At 33.9% G+C, this 20,816-nt stretch overlaps 1 protein-coding gene across 24 annotated transcripts in view; it reads left to right on the top strand.

Moving 5' to 3' along the window:
- GRM8 (glutamate metabotropic receptor 8) overlaps nt 1–20,816 on the top strand; it is an 814,344-nt gene that overhangs the window by 694,014 nt on the left and 99,514 nt on the right. The window lies entirely within an intron of this gene.

Raw genomic sequence — 20,816 nt, 5'->3', positions numbered from 1 at the left:
TGATTCCTAAACTATTCCTGGTCTTTGGTTAGATTCACTACTTTGGTCTTTGCAATGTATCTTTGTTTTCCTGATTCCTTACCACTTTTGATATTGAATGATGACTTATTGCTCTTTGTACAGGCCATTTAGGTACAGTCAGCCCTTGGTATCTGCAGGTTCCACATCTGTGGATTCAGTCAACCACAGGTTGAAAATATTCAGAAAAAAAAGGAATGGTTGTGTCTGTGCTAAACATGTAAAGACTTTTTTTTCTCATCATTATTCCCTAAAAAATGCAGTATAAAAACTATCTTCGTAGAATTTACATTGTATGAGGCATTGTAATTAACCTAGAGATGATTTCAAGTATACAGTAGGATGCATGTAGGTTATAAGCAAATATTACACCATCTTATATAAAAGACTTCAGAATCCATGGATTTTGGCATCTGGAAGGTCCTGGAAACAGCATACAGAGGCATACAGAGGTTGAGAGGGTGGCTTTGTGGTTAAGCTACCTAGATTGAGGACAGCTTTGCCACTTACTTTATGTGTATATATACATGTATATACACATGGCCCTTGGCAAATTAGATTTTCTCACTTTGTGTAATTTTCTTCAATTGTACAATTATGATATCAATAGGGATGTTTTAAGATTAATAAAGAAATACATAAAAAGAACTCTGAACTATACTTGGTACACAGTTGTAAGCTATTAGCCATTTTTGCTCTTCACTGTGGTACTTACATGTACTTAACTCTCTGCTAACCTACCACAAATCATAAATGCTACCTAGAATTTTGATCCTACCCTTCCACCTTTTTAACCCTGAGCTTACTCAAGTTGCTTTATGACAGTGAATTATAAATTTGTTGAAATGTACCTTATAAATGTGATCTGTGAAAATTCTTCAAATCCAGTAACAGATGCCATATGTTAGTATGAATTTATGTTAATTTTAATTCTAAAAATTATTCTCTTCTGATTTATTATTTTGTGAAACCAGAATTCCTTTATAATTTATAGTTTAAAACAAACTTAAAGTACATCTTTATATTACTTTTTGGTATTCACCATGTGCCTAGCAAGCACATATATATAGTGTATATATATAATATACATACATATACACATACTTTGTCAATATACACATACATATATACGTACTTTGTCATACACATATGTTGCCATATTTCTATTTTTACAGTTTGCCCAAATTCTGAGCATGCAAAGATGAATAAGATATGACAATGAATGAATAAAAAGATCTTACTAAGAAAACATTAAAACTTTTTTAGAGCTACTCATTACATTGGTATTAGCTAGAATTTCATATTTTAATTCTTTACTCACAGTGAATTTTATAATAGGAAGTGTTGTACAGCAACAATGGGGAATTTCCAGAAATTTCTTACGATCGCCACTTGTGGTTGTTTTACTAAAACTGAAAGGAAGATTGTCACAAAAGTGAAGATGGATCCTGGCAAGATGGAAACAGAAGCAGCAAAGAAGTGCCCTGTGCTGGTGTGCGAGAAAAATGTACAGAGACAGTAAGGATGGACCAAGAGTGATTCCAAGGTGGTAACTGAGCACCTGAGCCCGTCTCTGTCAGATACATTTTACTTTTCTTTGTTATTTGCTATCCTTATGGTAATGGATCCAGAGCATTATCCAGTCTTACCCTAATACCGCTGCCTTTGCTCTCTTTTAAGATTTCAAAGTTTTCTTCTTAAATATACTCTATTGAGGAGAAAATCGCCAGCAAGGCAGTGTGAGGTCTTCTGCACTTGCCAGTGTCTGTTGGGAGACAGTATTCCAGTGAATATCACAGGAAGATATCCCTGATCCCTTCTTTAGGGGAGCAGCTTCCCCACAGGCAGCTCATTTTTCAGAGCAAGAATAGGGCTCTATCTTATCTTTTTCTTTCTGTTTCTTCTTTGTGCTGTTCCTTGGCCCTTTACTTGAAAACAATACTTAATAGTATATCCATATTTCTTTCAAGTAGTTTTATGAATTACAAATAAAACTAAAGACACCAATGGACACCAATGAATAAGTCTTTCATTTATATCTGATTAGGGAAAGAAACTAAAGACAATGGAATAGAACTGACATTCTCTTTAGAGGCAAAATGCATTTTTGGAACAAAAATACATACATTTGGAGTCTTTTGATTACATCTTTTTAAAATAAATAATCTGAACCATGACTGACATTTACAAGACTGGAGGTTCTCTCGTGAAAAAGAGGAAAGTTTTCTAATCAAAATTGTGGACACATTTTTTTCTTTTTTTCAAGACGGAGTCTTGCTCTGTCACCCAGGCTGAAGTGCAGTGGTGCAATCTCAGCTCACTGCAACCTCTGCCTCCTGCGTTCAAGCAATTCTCCTGCCTCAGCCTCCCGAGTAGCTGTGATTACAGGCGTCTGCCACCACACCTGGCTAATTTTTGTATTTTTAGTAGAGACGGGGTTTCACCATGTTGGCCAGGCTGGTCTTGAACTCCTGACCTCAGGTGATCCACCCACCTCGGCCTCCCAAAGTGCTGAGATTGCAGACATGAGCTACCACACCTGGCCCACTTTTTTTTTTTTTTTTTTTTTTTTAAAGAGGAGAACTGCTTCTCCATTGTCACTCTAGTAGTGTCATCCCTGAGCCTTGGTTTGAGGATTTACAATAGTAGGTACTAATATGAAAAACACAAAACAATAACTAGTTTTAAAGGCTTGACTGACTTTGAGAACTGAAATTATTCAAACATGCAGCTGCTTTCATGAGTTATTTCATTTCATGGATACGAAGTATTTTGTCTCTCATTCAAGTAACTTTAAACAAGGGGATAATTCTTCAACTATATGTATCCAACCCCAAGATAATTTATTATTTGGGGAAGTAAGGGTAAGAAAGTGCTCAAGCTGCTTTTGGTTTTTCAGAGTTGGGAATATGTTCACATTTCAACTGGATGTTTTTGGTGCTTTGTAGAGATAGTCATTGTACTTCATTTTAGTATTCTGAGATATGAGTTTTCCTTGATATGTCCTTTTACAGTCAATCAAATTTCTTTTCATGGGCATTAGCAAATATTAAGCAGAAAATATTCAAATGTGTGGTTCAAAGAGGGATTCAATCTGAGAGCATTTGTATTCCACACATATTTTAGGAAGAATAAAGTGAGCATTTGCATCTGTACAAGTAAACAAACACTGAATAGAAAACTGAGCTAAACAGAGCTATAAAGTTTGAACAACAGTAACAAACTGCTAGTAGGTGCTTCATTTACTGATCTGAAGTGTCAAATAGCAGAAACCCTCGTAATAAATTGTTTTGCTTTAAAAATAATTTGATATAAGAACAATTATAAACAATAACTGGACAAATTAATAAGAATATGAAATATAACAAATATAGTAAATGCAGGTATTTGTGGTAATTGTTCATTTCCAATAATTAATGGATCTGATTTATGTTTGGATCATATTTCTGTGTGACAAGACAGGGATTCTAGTTTATAGCTGTTCTTAGCATTGTCTGGTAGTGACGCAAGATAAATTTAACCATACACTGTTGGTTATTCTGCCTACCCCTTAGCCCAGGCTATGAAGATAGTCTCTTGGCCTGAGCAATTAATAGGAATCTCCTTTCATCATTTACGTAGTTTGCTTCTTCACATCCAGCTATGAGCACTCTGCAACCTAACTTAGTACCGTGTCATGGGATCGACTATAAATTGTACCTTACTCTCCCCTATTCACATGCACCAGATTAAGCTTTCTATGAATCTATCAAAAAGATAAATTGCGTCTGTTTTGTTCTATTGGTGTTTCTGTTCTAAATAATTTTATTTATGTTCTTTGTTTTGTTTTTAAGTGTTTCTTTGAGTTTTAACATCATAATTTATTCTTACTGCTCTCACATTTTCATTTTGAGTTATAGGCAACACATCCATCATTTCCATTCTAAAAAGAGGAATTTCTGTGCCACAAATTGGAATCTCAAATTCCAACTTACTCTTTTCTTCTTACATTTATCCTATTATTTGCCAAACAAAACAGGAAGTTCTTTAAGAATGATAAATCTTAACCATATGATGTTAGTAATATATTAGAAACAAAGTTATGTAATTTAGTGCCCTAAAAATAACATATATGACAATAAAAAGAAAGACTGGAAACAAAAACAGAAAATTTAAGAAAAACTATTTCTGAAAACTTTTATAAAAATAATTTTGTTTAACTATACTTTCTATCTCATTTCTTCCTCTAAGCAGACTATTTCTAGTTTTTGTTATATACCATGTGCTTTGCCTTTTGTTCTTTTCTTCCTTGTGACTCTTTTTAATTTTAGTTTTTTTGAAATAGGGTTTCATTCTGTCACTCAGGCTGGAGTGCAGTGGCACGATCATAACTCACTGCAGCCTCAACCTCCTGGGCTCAAGCAATCCTTCCACCTCAGCTTCCTGAGTAGCTGGAACTACAGGCATGTGCTACCACATCAGGCTAATTATTATTATTATTATTATTATTATTTGTAGAAATTGGGTCTTGCTATGTTATCTTGGCTGGTCTCAAACTTCTTAGCTCAAGCTGTCTGCCCACCTCAGCCTCCCAAAGTGCTGGGATTACAGGCATGAGCCACTGCACCTGGCCTCCCTTATTACCCTTTTGCTTGATTTATTATTGAGTTGGTTTCTCTAAAACTTATCTTTTTGTTTTTATTTTTATCTACAATTTAAAAAAATCTTATGTCTGTATTTACACATTTAGTAATTAAAGATGTGCCATTTTCTGTTCCTTTACACTGAAACTAATAGCTTAAACAATTTTAGGAAGCACTTAATTCATTTTAAATTTCATTTCTTTGAGAAAAGATTGGAATATATTTTTCCAAATATGAAACAATGATACATTATTAAATATGTACTTGCAGAAGATAGGCATTGAAAATGAAAAATAAAATAAAGTACAAAAGAGTACCATGAACATTGGGAGCAAATCCCATTTTGTATCTTTTGCAATTTGGTGAGTAATGAAACTAACTGCCCTGCCACTGGAAATCCAAAATGCCTTCAGCTTTCCTCTTATGTTTAAGTGTACGCTTATATTTTGATTGATAAGCTATCATTGAATTGCTTTCCAGCTGTATATCCATTTTTACAAACATCATCACCTAACAAATCTCTTGAGATGAGTGCAGTGAAACCATATTTTGTATTGTAATCAATACAATTGGGTATTAGGTTAGCCTCTAAGCATTCAATATCTGAGTCTAAGTTCAGATTACTACCATGTGATATTCTTAATATATTCAAAACTAGATGTATTAGATGTACTAGAGGGTTCATGTTATGCATTGGGAGACGGAGACAGGTTATAATCCACCCCAAGCAGAGTATTACATTGAGTTTTATTCATTCATGTGACGAATTCACCTTTCAGAACTACTTTTGGTCAAACAAAATATTGTTTTGGAGAAGACAAGGTCACAAAGCTGGCATTTTAATATTTCATTCCATTTTAAAAGTGAAAAAAATTAGAGCTTCAACATTGTGCTTATTTAATTAAAATAACCCAACAGAATATGTCACATGAAATGTATCAGTTACATGGTAATGAAATTATAGCAATGGTACACCAGAGCTGTACATTTTCTGGAATAAATTTTATACAAAGAAGAGTACATTTGGGATTTTTTAAAAATAATTTATCTGTTGTTTATTATAGAGATGTTAAAATGGGAAATAGAAAATAGAATCTCTATCCAATTTAAGCAGGAAGTAGGGGATACATCACATTTATTTTAGGAAGAAGAATAGCAGCAGCTATGGTGTTAGGCAGAATAAGTAGGTGAGTGAACAGGAGGAGGGATTGGTGGTGGTTGTTGATGATGATGATTATTGCTAACTATGACTATTATGCCTACCCTGTTCTAGGTTCTTTATATGGATTCATCCATTCAATACTGAAAAATCATTTGAAGTAAGGTTTTACTGATTTATTTTCTCAGATGGGGAAATTGAGGCTCAGGGAAATACATTTAGTAAGTTATAAATAAGAGACTTAAATCCTGACCTAATTTGAAAACCTAATGTTTATTTAAAGATGAAAATTTTCAAAGTGCCTTGTCAATATGGCTTTCAAGTTATGTAGAATGATTTTATCATTGGAAACTGGAAATTTATAATGACAAAAGATAGATTTTCCTATTTAAAGATAAACCAGACCAATAACATGTATAACCATTTTAAATAAATGTAATTAGCTAAAATGCTTTGGCCAACAAATAACACATAGTAAATACTTAGGAATTTTGCCATTATACATTCTATTTTATATTTCAGAGTTAGGTTAACTGGATATTCAATCCTGGAAAGTTTGTACAATGAAGAGAAAGTATATAGAAATGGATTTTGGAGTATTAGCTTGTATTGTATAATTCTCAAAAGTGCCCAAAGAATGATAGCACATATTTGCTTTATTATGTTTATGCTATTATTTCCTAATACTTACAAAAATTGAAAGTTGGATTATATTATCTCAAGATTGTACATACATTAAAAATATTATTAGCACCTTTTTTGTGCAAATGCTAGCTTAAGTAAAATAATATGGAGCCAAAGTATAAGGCATTTTTAAGGTACATATTAGGCATGGTTCCTGACTTAAAGAATAGTTAAAACTAATAGAGGAGTTCATTATAATATAGGAGCATAATGAAATTATCATACAAATGATACCAACAAAATTGCATGATGTGAGAGGAGGGATGGACCACTTATGATTCAAGTGATCGGGGACAAATTAACGGACGAGGCATTTGAAATAATTCTTGAAGAAATAGTAGTGTGTTGACAGCTAGGAATGGAAGAATGGTCTTCAAAGCAGAGGCAAAACAAGAGTAAATAGAGACATGTAAAAGAAGATGAATACAAAAATTGAGTGAAGCATATAATTTTCATATGGGCATTTTATGTGATGCTCAAAAGGTAGATTGGGAAAGAGTGTTTGAGGGCATAAAGTCAGGTTACTAATGTTTATTTTGCTTTGTAACCTGTGAGAAGTTGTAAATTTTCATTAGAGAAGTAAACAAGTAAACAAAGAGAATGTTAAGAGTATTTTTATCTGTCCCCGATTTCTATGTGCAAGATGGATTAGAAGAGAAAGAAAGCTAGCTACGTTCCCTTTGTGGTAGTCAAGGAATGGCATTATGATAAATGGTTCCAGCAGGGCCAGAAAAAACCATGGATGGATAAAAAAAAAAATTACGTATGGTTGCCAATACAGGGCATAAAACTGAGCTGAAAAAAATTGGAGAATCAAGAAGAAAATGTTTAGGCCAAATGGTGAATCCATTTGTAGACATGATGAGCTTTATGTCTCATACTTTAGTTCTATCTCACAGCGCTTGGTCAGCAGGACATTGGAAATGTTCTAGTTCATAAGTAACAAGATCAGGATTGAAGTACAGCAATGATGTTTAAGGCCAAGGAATAGTTGGGACCTCTGACAAAGACAAGTCAAAAAATATTAAGGATAAAACCATGGGCAGTCATAGGGGAACTATCAACAAGAATAGTGAACCAGCATTCATGACAAGAGAGAAATAATAGTGATAGTGTTCAGATCTCAAGTAAGGAGGGCTTCAAAAAAGAGGTAGATAGAAAAGAGGCCATTAGATTTGAATGCTGATACCTTTCTCGTGAGCCTTTAAAATGAATAGATTGTAAAAGCTATTTTGCATGGGGAAGATGGTACAGGGGACATAAAACATTGCTTCTAAAGGTATGGTGAAGAAAGAAAAAGAATGCAGCAGTTAAAGAATACAACTATGTCACAGATGGTATTTTCAAGGCATGGGAGACCAGGGATGTTTAAAAAGCAATACAGCAATATTATATTATGTTATATTATTATTTTATTTAATAAATATGGTATTTTATTATTTTCCTTTTTTGTATTTATAATTACATCTGTATGTCAGAGTCCAGGCTGTGTATTTGAGTTTTTTCCTCTCTTTTTTTTCTCCCTCAATTAGACTTGCCAGGTATCTGTAATTTCAACTGGCTATTCCATAGAAACTGTTCTTGGATTTTCTTTTTAATTAATTCACCATTATTCTGTTTCTAAGTCTTTTATTATTAATTATTCCCTCTACTTCTTATAGTATTATGTATCATTTGTGCCTACCCTCTATAATTAATACTAAGTTCATTTATTTTTATTATTTTCTATTTTAAAATAAAACATTGAATAATACAAATTTTTGTTATAAGTACAGATTTGTGTGTAACACTTGAGTTTTGATGCAGCTTTCTCATTATCTTTTATTTCTAAATGGTCTTAATTGCACTTTTGACCTGACTAATTGGAAAGAGTTATTGTTTAATTTCTAAGTGGTTGCATTATATGTTTATAATTTTATTTATTTCTAGTTTTTCTACAAAGTTATCAGAAAATGTGGCCTAAACAAAGTTTTCTTTAAAAAAACTTTTAATCTATTAAGAAATTTATGATTCATTTTTAAAAATACTTTTTCGGCCGGGTGCGGTGGCTTATGCCTGTAATCCCAGCACTTTGGGAGGCTGAGGCGGGTGGATCATGAGGTCAAGAGATTGAGACCATCCTGGCCAACATGGTGAGACCCATCTCTACTAAAAATACAAAAATTAGCCAGGCGTGGTGGCGTGTGCCTGTAGTCCCAGTTGCTCGGGGGACTGAGGCAGGAGAATTGCTTGAACCCGGGAGGCAGAGGTTGCAGTGAACCGAGATCACTCCACTGCACTCCAGCCTGGGGACAGAGGGAGACCGTCTCGGAAAAAAAAACAAAAAAACAAAAAAACAAAAAACATTTTCACTCTACTCTGGAACTTGTCAATTTGTCATTTTTCTAACAGTTTTTTTTTTATTGCTGTTTGCTTTGTTGCCCATAAAACAACATGCAAGTTATATTTTCATTGAGACCTGGGTGCTTGGATCTAGATTATTCTTATTATATTCTTACATTTACATTATATATCCTTCATAACTATTGTTGATAATGTAATCCTGTTTTATAATGAACTTTACTCACATTTTTGTAGGTTTCTCACATGTTTCAGCAATCACAGTCATTTCTTTTACATTATGGCTCCTTTATTGGACTTCTCAAGTTTGAATTTGTAGTTTATTGCATTACATATTCAGGTAATTTTTCCCAGTAAAGTGTCTTTAAATGTTATATTTTCTGAATGATTGTATATCTGAGAGTTTCTCTCTAGTCCTCAAATGTAAAATAAACCTTGTCATATTATTAATTATGTGATCATAAGAGTTTCTCCTAAAAAGTATTACGCTTCTTTTTATTCTGCATTTGTATTGTGGCAGAATAACTAGAAATATATGTATAAACATAAACTACAACCATTTAGAAATTAAATAATAACTTTTCAGTAAGTCACGTCAAAAGTGCAATCAGGACCATTTAGAAGTAAAAGATAATGAGAAGGCTGCATCAAAACTTGAGACTATCTTTTTAAAAGATTTTTACTAGATGATTTTGTCAGGGGTGGGGGTCCTTGCTTGAATTTTATTGGGCTTTTCTTTAACTTGTAATTCCCCACCAAAATAATCTTATGTTTTGTCAGTTCTTTCCATTGATTTTGACTTTCAATCTATTTGCACAGATGTTTCTTCAGAAAAAAAAAATCTTTCCTCATATCTTTGATTTTATTTTTCTATAACAGCTGTTTGGATTTCCCCATCAGAAATGTTAATCATCTATAATTCTCTCAATAGCCTCTGTCTTCTCTTTTCTTCCATATTTTCCATTATATTTTCCATGTCTGTATTGTTTTCTTCAGTGGTTTGAGGAAGAAGCTTTATGTGGTTTCTACATTAATGATTTGATTTTATACAAACTCTACCCTGTACTTCATTGTTTTCTATGTGGATTTAAATTTGACATTTCACTTTTAGCTCTCCCTACTTTGTTTCTTATCTGTCTTCCTTTTCAGTTAGGTTTCTTAACTTTTCATTTCAACTTGCTCTTCTTTAAAATGCTTATTAAATTTATTTATACTTATGATTTTGAAAGTCCATTGGTCCCACTAAGCTCGTTTCGAAGATGGCAGCCCCTAGTACTTCTGCCCCTAGTTTCAGATGCCCAAAGTCAACTACAGTCAAATTTTTAAATTAATGGGTCCTTGATGTGTTTTACTCTTCTCTCCTGAATAACTTGCTCACACTTTCTACTTCTTACTTTTCTGCTATGTTTGTTTATATTGACTTCTCACCATAGGAAATGAGGAATTATCTCCTTTATATCTATTTTAACCCTGTTATTTACACTTCCTCTCCTATCATCTTCCCAATGTAGCTACACCATACCTTACATTATCATGGGCATATAGATGCTGCTCATAACTGTGTCACCTGTTATGCTTTGATTACTTTTATTTTCTTGGAAATTTTTTTTGTTGTCCTTATAGCTAGTAACCGTAATTTTTAAAGTTATCTGTTTAAATACTTAGTGTTTCTGTTTTGGTTTTTATATAATTAAAGTTTGTTTTTTATATACTTAAGGACGATTTCTCCCAAACTTTCTACCAGAGGATATTTGGATAGTTAACCAGTTTATGTCCTTTTTTTTTTTATTATTATACTTTAAGTTCTAGGTTACATGTGCACAATGTGCAGGTTTGTTACATATGTATACATGTGCCATGTTGGTTTGCTTCACCCATCAACTCGCCATCTACATTAGGCATTTCTCCTAATGCTATCCCTCCTCATCCCTCCACCCCACGACAGGCCCCAGTGTGTGATGTTAAAGTTCATGTTCTTAGAGAGTCTCTCCGGCTTCTCCAATTTAGACTGGTACCTGTCTAGGTGGACAGCACAGCTTGCATCCTAGGATCTCCCTTGACTGCCGTTCTGAGGATATTCTTCGCATCTTTTTGTGGTGGATTCACATCTTTTTTGTGGCGTATCTCCTATTTCCTGTAGCCAACTCCCCCTCTTCCTTCACTTATTTTCTTATTTAGGTTCAGCACATCAACTAGGTTTTTTTTTTCATTTTGTTTCTTTCGTTCTCCAGAATCTTTTATGATCTATTTGTTCTCGGGATTCTGACATTTCTGCAAGATATAAACTAATGTTTGTATATTTTTATATGTTGTGCTGGAATCTCAGTAGAATGTTTTAATCTAGAATTTCATATACTTTCATTCTGGAAAAATTTTGATATTTTTGTTTAATGATTCCAACTCCCTATTTGCTTTTCCATGAATTCTTCTTATAATTATTGGGCATGCTGAAATTATCTTTAATTAACTTTTTTGCTTCATTTATTTCTGTATGTCTTTTTGCTTAAATTTCTGGGAGATTATCTCAGCTTTACCTTCAAATTATTCTATTGAGTCTTCATTTCTGAGATTATAATCAATTATAATTATTATCCAGAATTATAATTTATTATGAATAATAATGAATGATAATGTATCAGATATATTATTAAACATAATAATTATAGTTAATTTATTCTTTTATGCTTTCTGAATTTTTTAATAGAAATTTCCTATTTCATGCATCTATTTTTAAAAAAATCTCTGGAGTTATAATAACTTTAGATGCCTCCCTCTCCATGCATTGGGGAAAAAGACTATTTTCCCCAAATTACTTTTCTCTCTATTTGTTTAATGTTGATTTTGCATGGCAGAAAATTTCTTTAAATGCCCAGTGATCTTTGGACTTCCATTTATATGTAAGGGTGCACTATAACGCTGATTTAAAACTCTTTGCACTTGGATGAGTCTGTTGACAGAGAACTTCATTGAAAAATCACCTAATATCATAACATTTTGATCTTTTATGTTGCTAAATCTAAAAATTCCCAAAGATGAATCTTCAGATCCCTTGTTAATTGTGTAAGGCTGGCTAATAGTATTCCATGACCTAGGTGGGAAAAAAGAACTGGAAAACTCAAAACTCAGGATTCAGATTTTTACTTGGTAAAACTAATTTCACGATGGTATCCCAGTACCAACTGTGCCAGGTGCCTTGCATCCAAAAAACCCCTTGATTTACTTTGTAGCAAGAGTTCCATTTAGGGTTACTTTGACTAAAACATGCTAAATTCATACCAAAATGATTATGATGCCTCATATGGAATGTAATGACTAGAATAATCCTAGCTGGAGAGAGTATCTTACTGTAATGATTATGAGGGAAAAGGAATCACTAGGATGTAGCATTCTCAAACCATGAAACAAACATTTACCTTATTCTAAGTGTCCTGTGAGAACCAATCCTTTAAATAAATTACTACCAAATTATTTTGCTGCTTCTTTCTAAATCTGTTTTAAACTTACCCTTTCTTTTCTATTCTCAGTGAACTGATTGCCTGGCCTGACTCATTCATCCCCTGCTCCTGTCTAAGGCCTCCCCTGACTAGGGCCATATTCCCTTCACTTGGACGATTATTTTAAATGCCTTATGCTGACTTCACTGTCTCCTATCTCCTCTGCTCCCTTTTCTGGATGGGATGTTCCTAATAGAGTTGGTTTTCAAAACATTTTGGCTACCTATTATTGGTCATGCACTGCCCCGGGAGCATTGAGGAGAGACAGTAAAATGTGATTCAGTAGTCACCCTGGACTCGAATCTATTGGACATCATTTAATAGCTGTGTGATGTGATGCATATCAACTACTGTTCTGTATTTCTTTAAACAAAATATGAGGAAAATACTTAACTCACGGGGTTGTTATAAGCACTAAATGTTAAGTGATTAGAACAATCTGACACATAGTATGTCCTCAATAAATGTTATTATTATTACTATTATTATCATCTTTATGTTTTGTTTGTTTACTAATATAAAATAGCTTGCCACTGAAAATATTCATTCCAAACCTCTTTGGCTATCTTTAACATTCTGAAGACACGTGTTCCTGTAACCCTCTATAGATTGCATTAAATGAACGTTGAGTCATATGGGCTAACACTGAAATGGGTAAGTGTTTTGCACTGAACAGAACATCTCCTATGTTGTTCAAAATATCACAGAATAATTTAAAATGAATTATCTTAGTTTCTGCATGCAGGAATCAAATTAGTACATGGAAAAAAGAAATGTACATAATTAAATGAAATATTCTGAAAATTTGCAGAATTGCCATTAGGGAGTACTAGTTCTGAGCTCATTTTAGTATTATTAACTTCTACTTATTAGCAATGAAGGATCAATTTAATTAGATTTAGTTATTATAAAGTACTGACCATATAGATTCAATGTAATTATTTATGTATAACATTTAAGTCATATTTTAAAATTTAGCTGACTTTTAAGTTTAAAAACATGAATACTATAGTACTTTTAAATACTATTCACAAAAATATCACATTAAAATAGCTAAAATAGTAATTTTTATGGTAAACATTCAGATGAAGTAATCCTACCTGAAAATATTTTTTTGAAGGAAATTATTTGAAACTCTAAATTTGGCCATCTATAATATAAACATGAACATAGTAACAAAAACATAACTCAATGGCTTCAATTAAAAATGGTCACTCTGTGATATCCAAATTAGAATTATCATAAGTTAAAATTTAAGGGAAAAGATTATTCTACTTCAATAGTCTTGCAACAAATACCATATGTGCCCTGCATATTTGCATATGCACTGTGTTGGGGTGAAGCCTTATAATAAGGTTATTACATCCCATTTACCCAAAATATTACAGGTCTGACTTCCTGCACCCTTCCCTTAAACCACCGCATCCACAATACATACGCCAACATGCACACTCAAGATGCCACCATCCGTGGACTCAGAGTTAAGGGGAGAAGGCACTCTTTTACGTGGCTTTTTCTGCATAGAACTTGAGTGAAAGATGGGGCACTTCATGTAACAAATATCAGAAACCATTATTAAGAGCTGAGATTGTCGGACGATAAAAACAAGTAATAGCAGATCTGGATGAAATCCAGAGATGGTGGCTTTTGACTTTTTGCTTCTGATATAATTTTTAGACAGACCAGCTGTATTTAATGATGGGTAGAGCGTGGATATCTTTTCTCCAGTGCTCCTCTCAGTCCTAATAAAGGAACCTGCAGAGTTTCTGTCTTCCACATCATCTGTTCATAAAATACTTTGAAGGCCAGGTGCGGTGGCTCATGTCTGTAATCCCAGCACTTTGGGAGGCCGAGGCGGGCGGATCATGAGGTCAGGAGTTTGAGACCAGCCTGACCAATATGGTGAAACCCCGTCTCTACTAAAAATACAAAAATTAGCAGGGCGTGGTGGCGTGCACCTTAGTCCCAGCTACTCGGGAGGCTGAGGCAGGAGAATCGTCTGAACCCGGGAGGCGGAGGTTGCAGTGAGCTGAGATCGTGTCACCTCATTCCAGCCTGGGCAACAGAGTGAGACTCTGTCTCAAAATAATAATAATAATAATAAATAAACTTTCAAAATATTAATTTGTTAGGTCTTCCAAACATCCTTGTGAGGTATGCGGTCAGGGTACTTAGTCTCCTCAAAATTAGCTTCTCTGAAGCTGCGGATGACATAATCTAGAGACCACACAGATTTAGGAAACGATAAGTTTAGTACTCCCATCTGCCTACTGCCTAAAGCCAGGCCTACTCAAAACACTAAATAGAGAGAAGTTATACATTTCTAGTCATAGACTAGTTTATCACATGTTCTATTTATTAATCAAGTTATATATTTATCAAACATGGAACTCCTACTAAGTCCTAAGTCTTATATAGGGGTTGGGTGGTCCTTGAGATTAATGTGCTGTCAGTCTGGTGGGGAAATAAACACATCAACAGATAATCACCATATAATGCCAAAGTGTTACAATAAAAATATGTCTTGGAGGAGGATGAAATACAGAGGAGGAACATATCTACCTGTCTGGAGCAAAGTAGATAAGAGAGACTTCACAGAAAACTTATCTCATGAAGGTAACCAAGGCCCCTAAATTTTCAAATCCTATGGTTATGAAATATTACTGTCTTCATACATTGCCAACTACTTCATCATTCCTGAAATTAACTATTTGATTGGCCTCTTGCACTGTGGACTAGATTCTTCCCTAGTTACCATTTGATCATGTTTTTACATCGTTTTCCACTGGTCTTCCTGAGTGTGCTTCTTAAATTGACTCTTTCCAGTGATCCATTTGTGCCATCTTCTCTTTGTATTTTTCATCATGTCTGTGGGAGAGAGCTCTCTCATAAATATTCATGACCTCAATTGCCTTGCATATACCTGTGCCTTTGAAATCTTTACCTCTAGGCACACTTGGCTCACAAACCCATGAACTAAGTCATGATCGGCCTTTCAAAACCAGTCATTCCCTTGTACGCCCCTTTTCAGTGAAGGATACCACTACCTATTCACATGGCATTTTAGTCTTTCTTCATTCATTCAAAAATAGTTATTGATGCCTATTAGGTCTTAGTCATGATGTTAGGATCTGGAACACAGTGGTGGAAAATCAGACCTGACTTCTACTCTTCTTAGGAAAATAAACTTTTAATTAGTGGCTTAGCAAAGTACAGTTCATTACTTGCATGTGTCAGAATCACTAGAGGAAGGAGGGATTCTTTTAAACATGCCAACATAGGGTTCTTTCTCAAACCTATGAGTTGTAATCTCTAAGAACGAGAAATATGCATTTTAAGTAAACCCTTAAGTGATTCTTAGGAATATAACCTAAAATTTAAAGCCCACTTTTTAAAATAAAAATAAAATCAAACAAATACATAATCATGTACTGTAAAAGTCCATGGAAGAACACTAAAAGGACTAAGGAGGATTGCTAAATGATGGTTGCGCATTGCCTGGGAGTTAGACAGGGACAAGATCATGCATAGATGTCCATGTAGGCTGGTTTATTGGATTTATGTATGCAGTGGAAAGAAGTGAAACACTAAGGATGGATGTCAAATCAGAAAACTAGATCCCATCTTTTCATTCATCTTTTGCCCTTACTCTACCATGATCTCTGTTGTCTTTACTGTATCTCAAATCTATCCTATCTTCTTCATCACCACCACTTAGACATAATTCACAAAGTCTTGCTTTGCCTGACATTATGGCAATATTTCTCTAATTCATATTCTTGCTTCTCTGCCATCCTCCCTCTGATCTGTCACCACAGTGATTTCTCTAAAATTAAAAAATAATACTATCATGTCATATATTTGCCTAAAAGTCCTTTAATTACTCACCACAGCTTTAAAGAATAAAGTCTGGAAACTAGATGCTGCTTACAAAGCCCTTCGTTATATGGTCACTGACTGTCTTGTATTGATACACACCATGTTCTAATCATGCCATATTGCTTACAGTGATTACAGTGTACATTTGCTTATAGGATTCATCCAACCTGAAATGCCTTTCTTTGTCTTCTCCAGTTCCATTTTATCTTTCAAGGCAGTCTCACCTCCCCTGAGAAACTTTTTACCCCTGTGCTGATGCTGAAGTGCCCCAGCTCTATGTTCCCCTAGTATCCTTTGCATGACTCTTTAACATCACTTGTAATTTTTATAATCATTACTGATTAATTGACTTTCTGTTCCCTGGACTGTGATTCTATGAAAGAAGAAACTGTTTTATTCCTTTCTGTATGTACAGTCCCTAGTAAAAATCCACGTTTATTAGCTGACAAATGAGGTATCTTTTGACTATGCTTTAGTAATACAAATGCCGACCCTTTAGAGCCTAAATTAGTTTTCTAGGGTTGCCATAACAAAGTACCACAGACTGGGTGGCTTAAATAACAGAAATTTATTTTCTCATAGTTCTGGAGGCCAGAAGTCCAAGATGTTGGCATAGTTGTTTTTCTCTGAGGCCTCTCTCCTTGACTTTTAGATGGTTTTCTCCTTGTGCCATTCCATGGCCTTCCCTCTATTCATGCCTGTGTCCTAATTCTGTCTTCTTGTAAAAACATCAGTTATATTGGATAATGTCCCACCCTAGTAATCTTATTTTACTTTAATTACCTCTTTAAAGATTCTGTCTCCAAATACAGTCACATTCTGAGATATTGAGGGATAAGACTTCAACATATGAATTTTGGGAGGTACACAATTCAACCCATAACAGAATTCCTTAGCACTAACGAAGTATTTAGTGATTAGAATGCTACGATCTCAAGTAGCTCTTAGCTCCAGGAATCTTTCTTGTATGTACCTTTGTACCTGATAATCTGTATCTAACAAATTTAGATGGTCCTTGAAGAAGCAGCTGATAGAATACTCACATTTTTCCCATGGCCATTGCCATTCCTCAGATTCCTGTCATCATCTTTCATCTGGAATTCCGCAACAGCCTCAGCGTGATTGACTTCTCTCTAGTCTTGGACTCCTGCAGTCTTCTTTCTACGCTACAGTCCAGAGATTCTAAAACGTGACTCATCATCTTTATCCTGGCTATATCCCTATGGAAGATCCCAACTACCTTCAGGATGGCATCCAAACTCCTCTCAATGGCTCACAAGGCCCTTCATGATCTCACATGTACCCTCTTTCCTGGCCTGTTTCTTGCTACTCCATCCACTGCTTTTATCTACCTTCCTGCTATTCTTAATACTTTTAGTTCCTCCAGTTTGTCAAGGCTTTTTGAAACTATATATTAGTAATTTTGTTTTTTGCCTGATGTGCTGTTGAGCTCCTCTTCTGTGCCTTGTCTCCTGTGCAACCTCCAGACTGCTGTCTGCACATCCATGAACCCTGGGCTTCGTGGTCCTGCTGTGTGCTCCTCTAGCAGTTCCATTTCCTCATCCTTCTGTAAGGGAGACTCACTGTGAGCTGTGATTGGCCTTTGTTTTTTTCTCTCCCCATCTACGTTGTGTCTGGAGGGCAAGAACCATGTCTTGGTCTTGTTGAATTCTCACATTGAACTTTGTGCCTTAAACAAAATGGGCATGGACTATGTTTTTGTACAGCATTATAGGACTGAGTCTTAAAACCACTTGAAAATATCTACTTAAATAGTCTCCACATTTTTTAAATAACAGCTTTATAGAGATAACTTACACGCCAAAAATGATCTCTTTCAAAGTATGCAATTCAGTGGTTCTTCGTATATTCACAGTGTTGCACATCCATCACCAATATCTAAGTTTAGTTCATTTTCATCATCATCCAAGAAATCCCATACCCTTTAGTGGTCATTCTCTATTTCCTTCCCCCTAGCTCCTGGAATTCAATGGATTTGCCTATTCTGGATGTTATATATAAAATAAAAACATGCAATATTAGTATTTTGTGATTAGCTGCTTTCATTTCTTAGTGTAATGTTTTCAAGGTCCATCCATTTTGTAGTAGGTGTCAATACACTATTCCTTTTGATTGCTAAGTAATATAGATATACCACATTTTTTATCCTTTCATCAGTTACTGGTCATTTGGGTTGTTTCTGGTTTTGGGGGGTATTATGAATAATCCTGTTATGAACATTTATACACAAATTTTTGTGGGAACATATGTTTTTAACTATCTTTGGTATATACCTAGAAGTGGAATTGCTAGGTCATATCAAAACCCTATGTTTAGCTTTCTAAGGAATTGTCAAATTTTCCAAAGCTACAGTACCATTTTACATTGCCACAGCAATGCAAAGAATTCCAAATGTCTTCATCCACATCTTTATCAACACTTGCTATTGTCTTTATTTTTTATTATAATAGTCCTAGTTGGTGCACTGGTTTTGATTTAGATTTCCCTGATAGCTAATAATGTTAGGTATATTTTCATGCACTATTGACAATTTGTATATCTTCTTTGGGACATGTCTATTCAATTTATTGGCTCATTTGTAATTGGATTATTGGTCTTTTAACTGTTGAATTTTAACAGTTTTTAAAAAATATATTCTGGATACAAATCCCTTATTAGAGATAATAATGACTTGAACATATTTTTGCCTATCCTGTGGGTTGTCTTCTAACAATCTTGGTGGTGTCTCTTGACCCACACAATTATTTAACATAGATGAAGTGCAATTTATTTTTTTTGTTGTTGTTGCTTCTGCTTTTGGTGTCATGTCTAAAAAACACTGCCTAACACAAGGTCACAGAGATTTACTCCTGTTTTCTTCTATGAGTTTTTAAGTTTTAGTTGTTGCATTGTGTCTTGGATCCTTTTTGAGTTAATTTTTATATACAGTGTGAGGTAGGTGTATAACTTCATTATTTTGCATATGGATATCCAGTTATTTTGGCATCATTTTTTGAAAAAAAAAATTCTTTATTGAATTTTCTTTGTATCTTGTCAAAAATAACGTGAACATACACGTTTATATTATAAATGTGTATGAGGTTTATTTCTGGACTCTCTAGTCTATGCCACTAATTTGTTTATTATTATGCCTGTACTATGTTGTCTTGATTATGACATTCTTTGTAATAAGTTTTAAAATGAGGAAATGTGAATACTCCATCTTTATTCTTTGCTTTCAAAATTTTGGCTATTCTGGGTCCCTTATATTTCCATATAAATTTTAGGATCAGATGATCAATTTCAGTGAAGGAGCCAGCTGAGATTTTGACTGGGATTGTGTTGAATATGTATGCAGATCAATGTGGGAAATATTGCTATCTTAGCAATAGTAAATCATCTGATTCATAAACACAGGATTTCTTTTCAACTATTTATACTTTTTTTTTCACTTTTTTTCAATGATGTTTTGTAGTTTTTCCTGGATAAGTCATGTGCTTCTTTTACTAAGTTTATCACTAAGTATTTTATTTTTGGTGTTAATGTAAATGAAATTTTTTCCTTAATTTTATTTTAAATTGTCTTTAAAATAGGAGAAGTCTTCGCACTTTTAAAGGTTATATAGATCTGGAACATCACAAAAAAACAGGATTTCAGCTTGGGAATCATCTCAAGCATATTAGATTTTTCAAAGGACACGGGCCACTTTGAAGAAGAGATAAATATTGTTTTCTTTGTGGTCACTTAAAGCTGTACATGACTCAAAGGAAATGCAGAATATTAAGAAATATATATATAGAGAGACACATATAATGCATATAATTACATAATTTTATATTCTGTTATCAGATTAACTGTGCAACATGTACTCATTCATGTGTGAATCATGTGATATGCAAAATATGGCACTAAAGTTTAAAATTTTAAGTACCCATGCAGATTGTATGCATTTATATGAAATTTAATGAGTAATGGTTTAAAAATAATCATTAGTGTCTCTGGAAGTAATTGCACATGCAGTCTTCCATTACTTAAGTCAGAAATATTGAGTTTTGAATATCGAGGTGTCAAACTAGTCAACAAAATAATTATTAATTAATAATAATTAACAAAATTATTACATGTAGAGCAAGAGGAAATGTGTTAAGAATGGTATGACTAAGTATCAGTTATCTGTAAACAATGTATTTAAAATTTTCCCACATCCTGTATATGGTAAGCACATTAAAAAAATACCACTTGATATTTAGGAAAAACATTGTATTAGAGATATTAGATTGAGAGTTCTGTAATGAAGACTGAAAATTATTAATTATAATGGGGATTTTACTTGTTCAACATTCTTGTAATCATTCTTGTAATCCTTTCTTCAGGAGTTATTAAAACTATACAGAAGAAAATTATTCTCTAAAAATTATATTCTTTTTAAAGAGTTTATAAAACAGTACTCCTAGTTGACTTTTCTGAAAAGATTGAAAATTTAAAAATGTAAGCACACTCACCCGGAAACTTTGGTTTCACGATTCTTTGTGTACTTGTCTGCAATAATAACAGGATTTGACAGCAGAAACCAGCTGATGACTTACATTTTCTGAAATGCACTGGATTGAAACCTATTGA

The sequence above is a fragment of the Homo sapiens genome, chromosome 7 (genome assembly GCF_000001405.40).
Source record: "Homo sapiens chromosome 7, GRCh38.p14 Primary Assembly".
NCBI lineage: Eukaryota > Metazoa > Chordata > Mammalia > Primates > Hominidae > Homo > Homo sapiens.
Note: the sequence above shows the minus strand (reverse complement) of the source record. Positions and strands in the feature narration are given on the sequence as shown.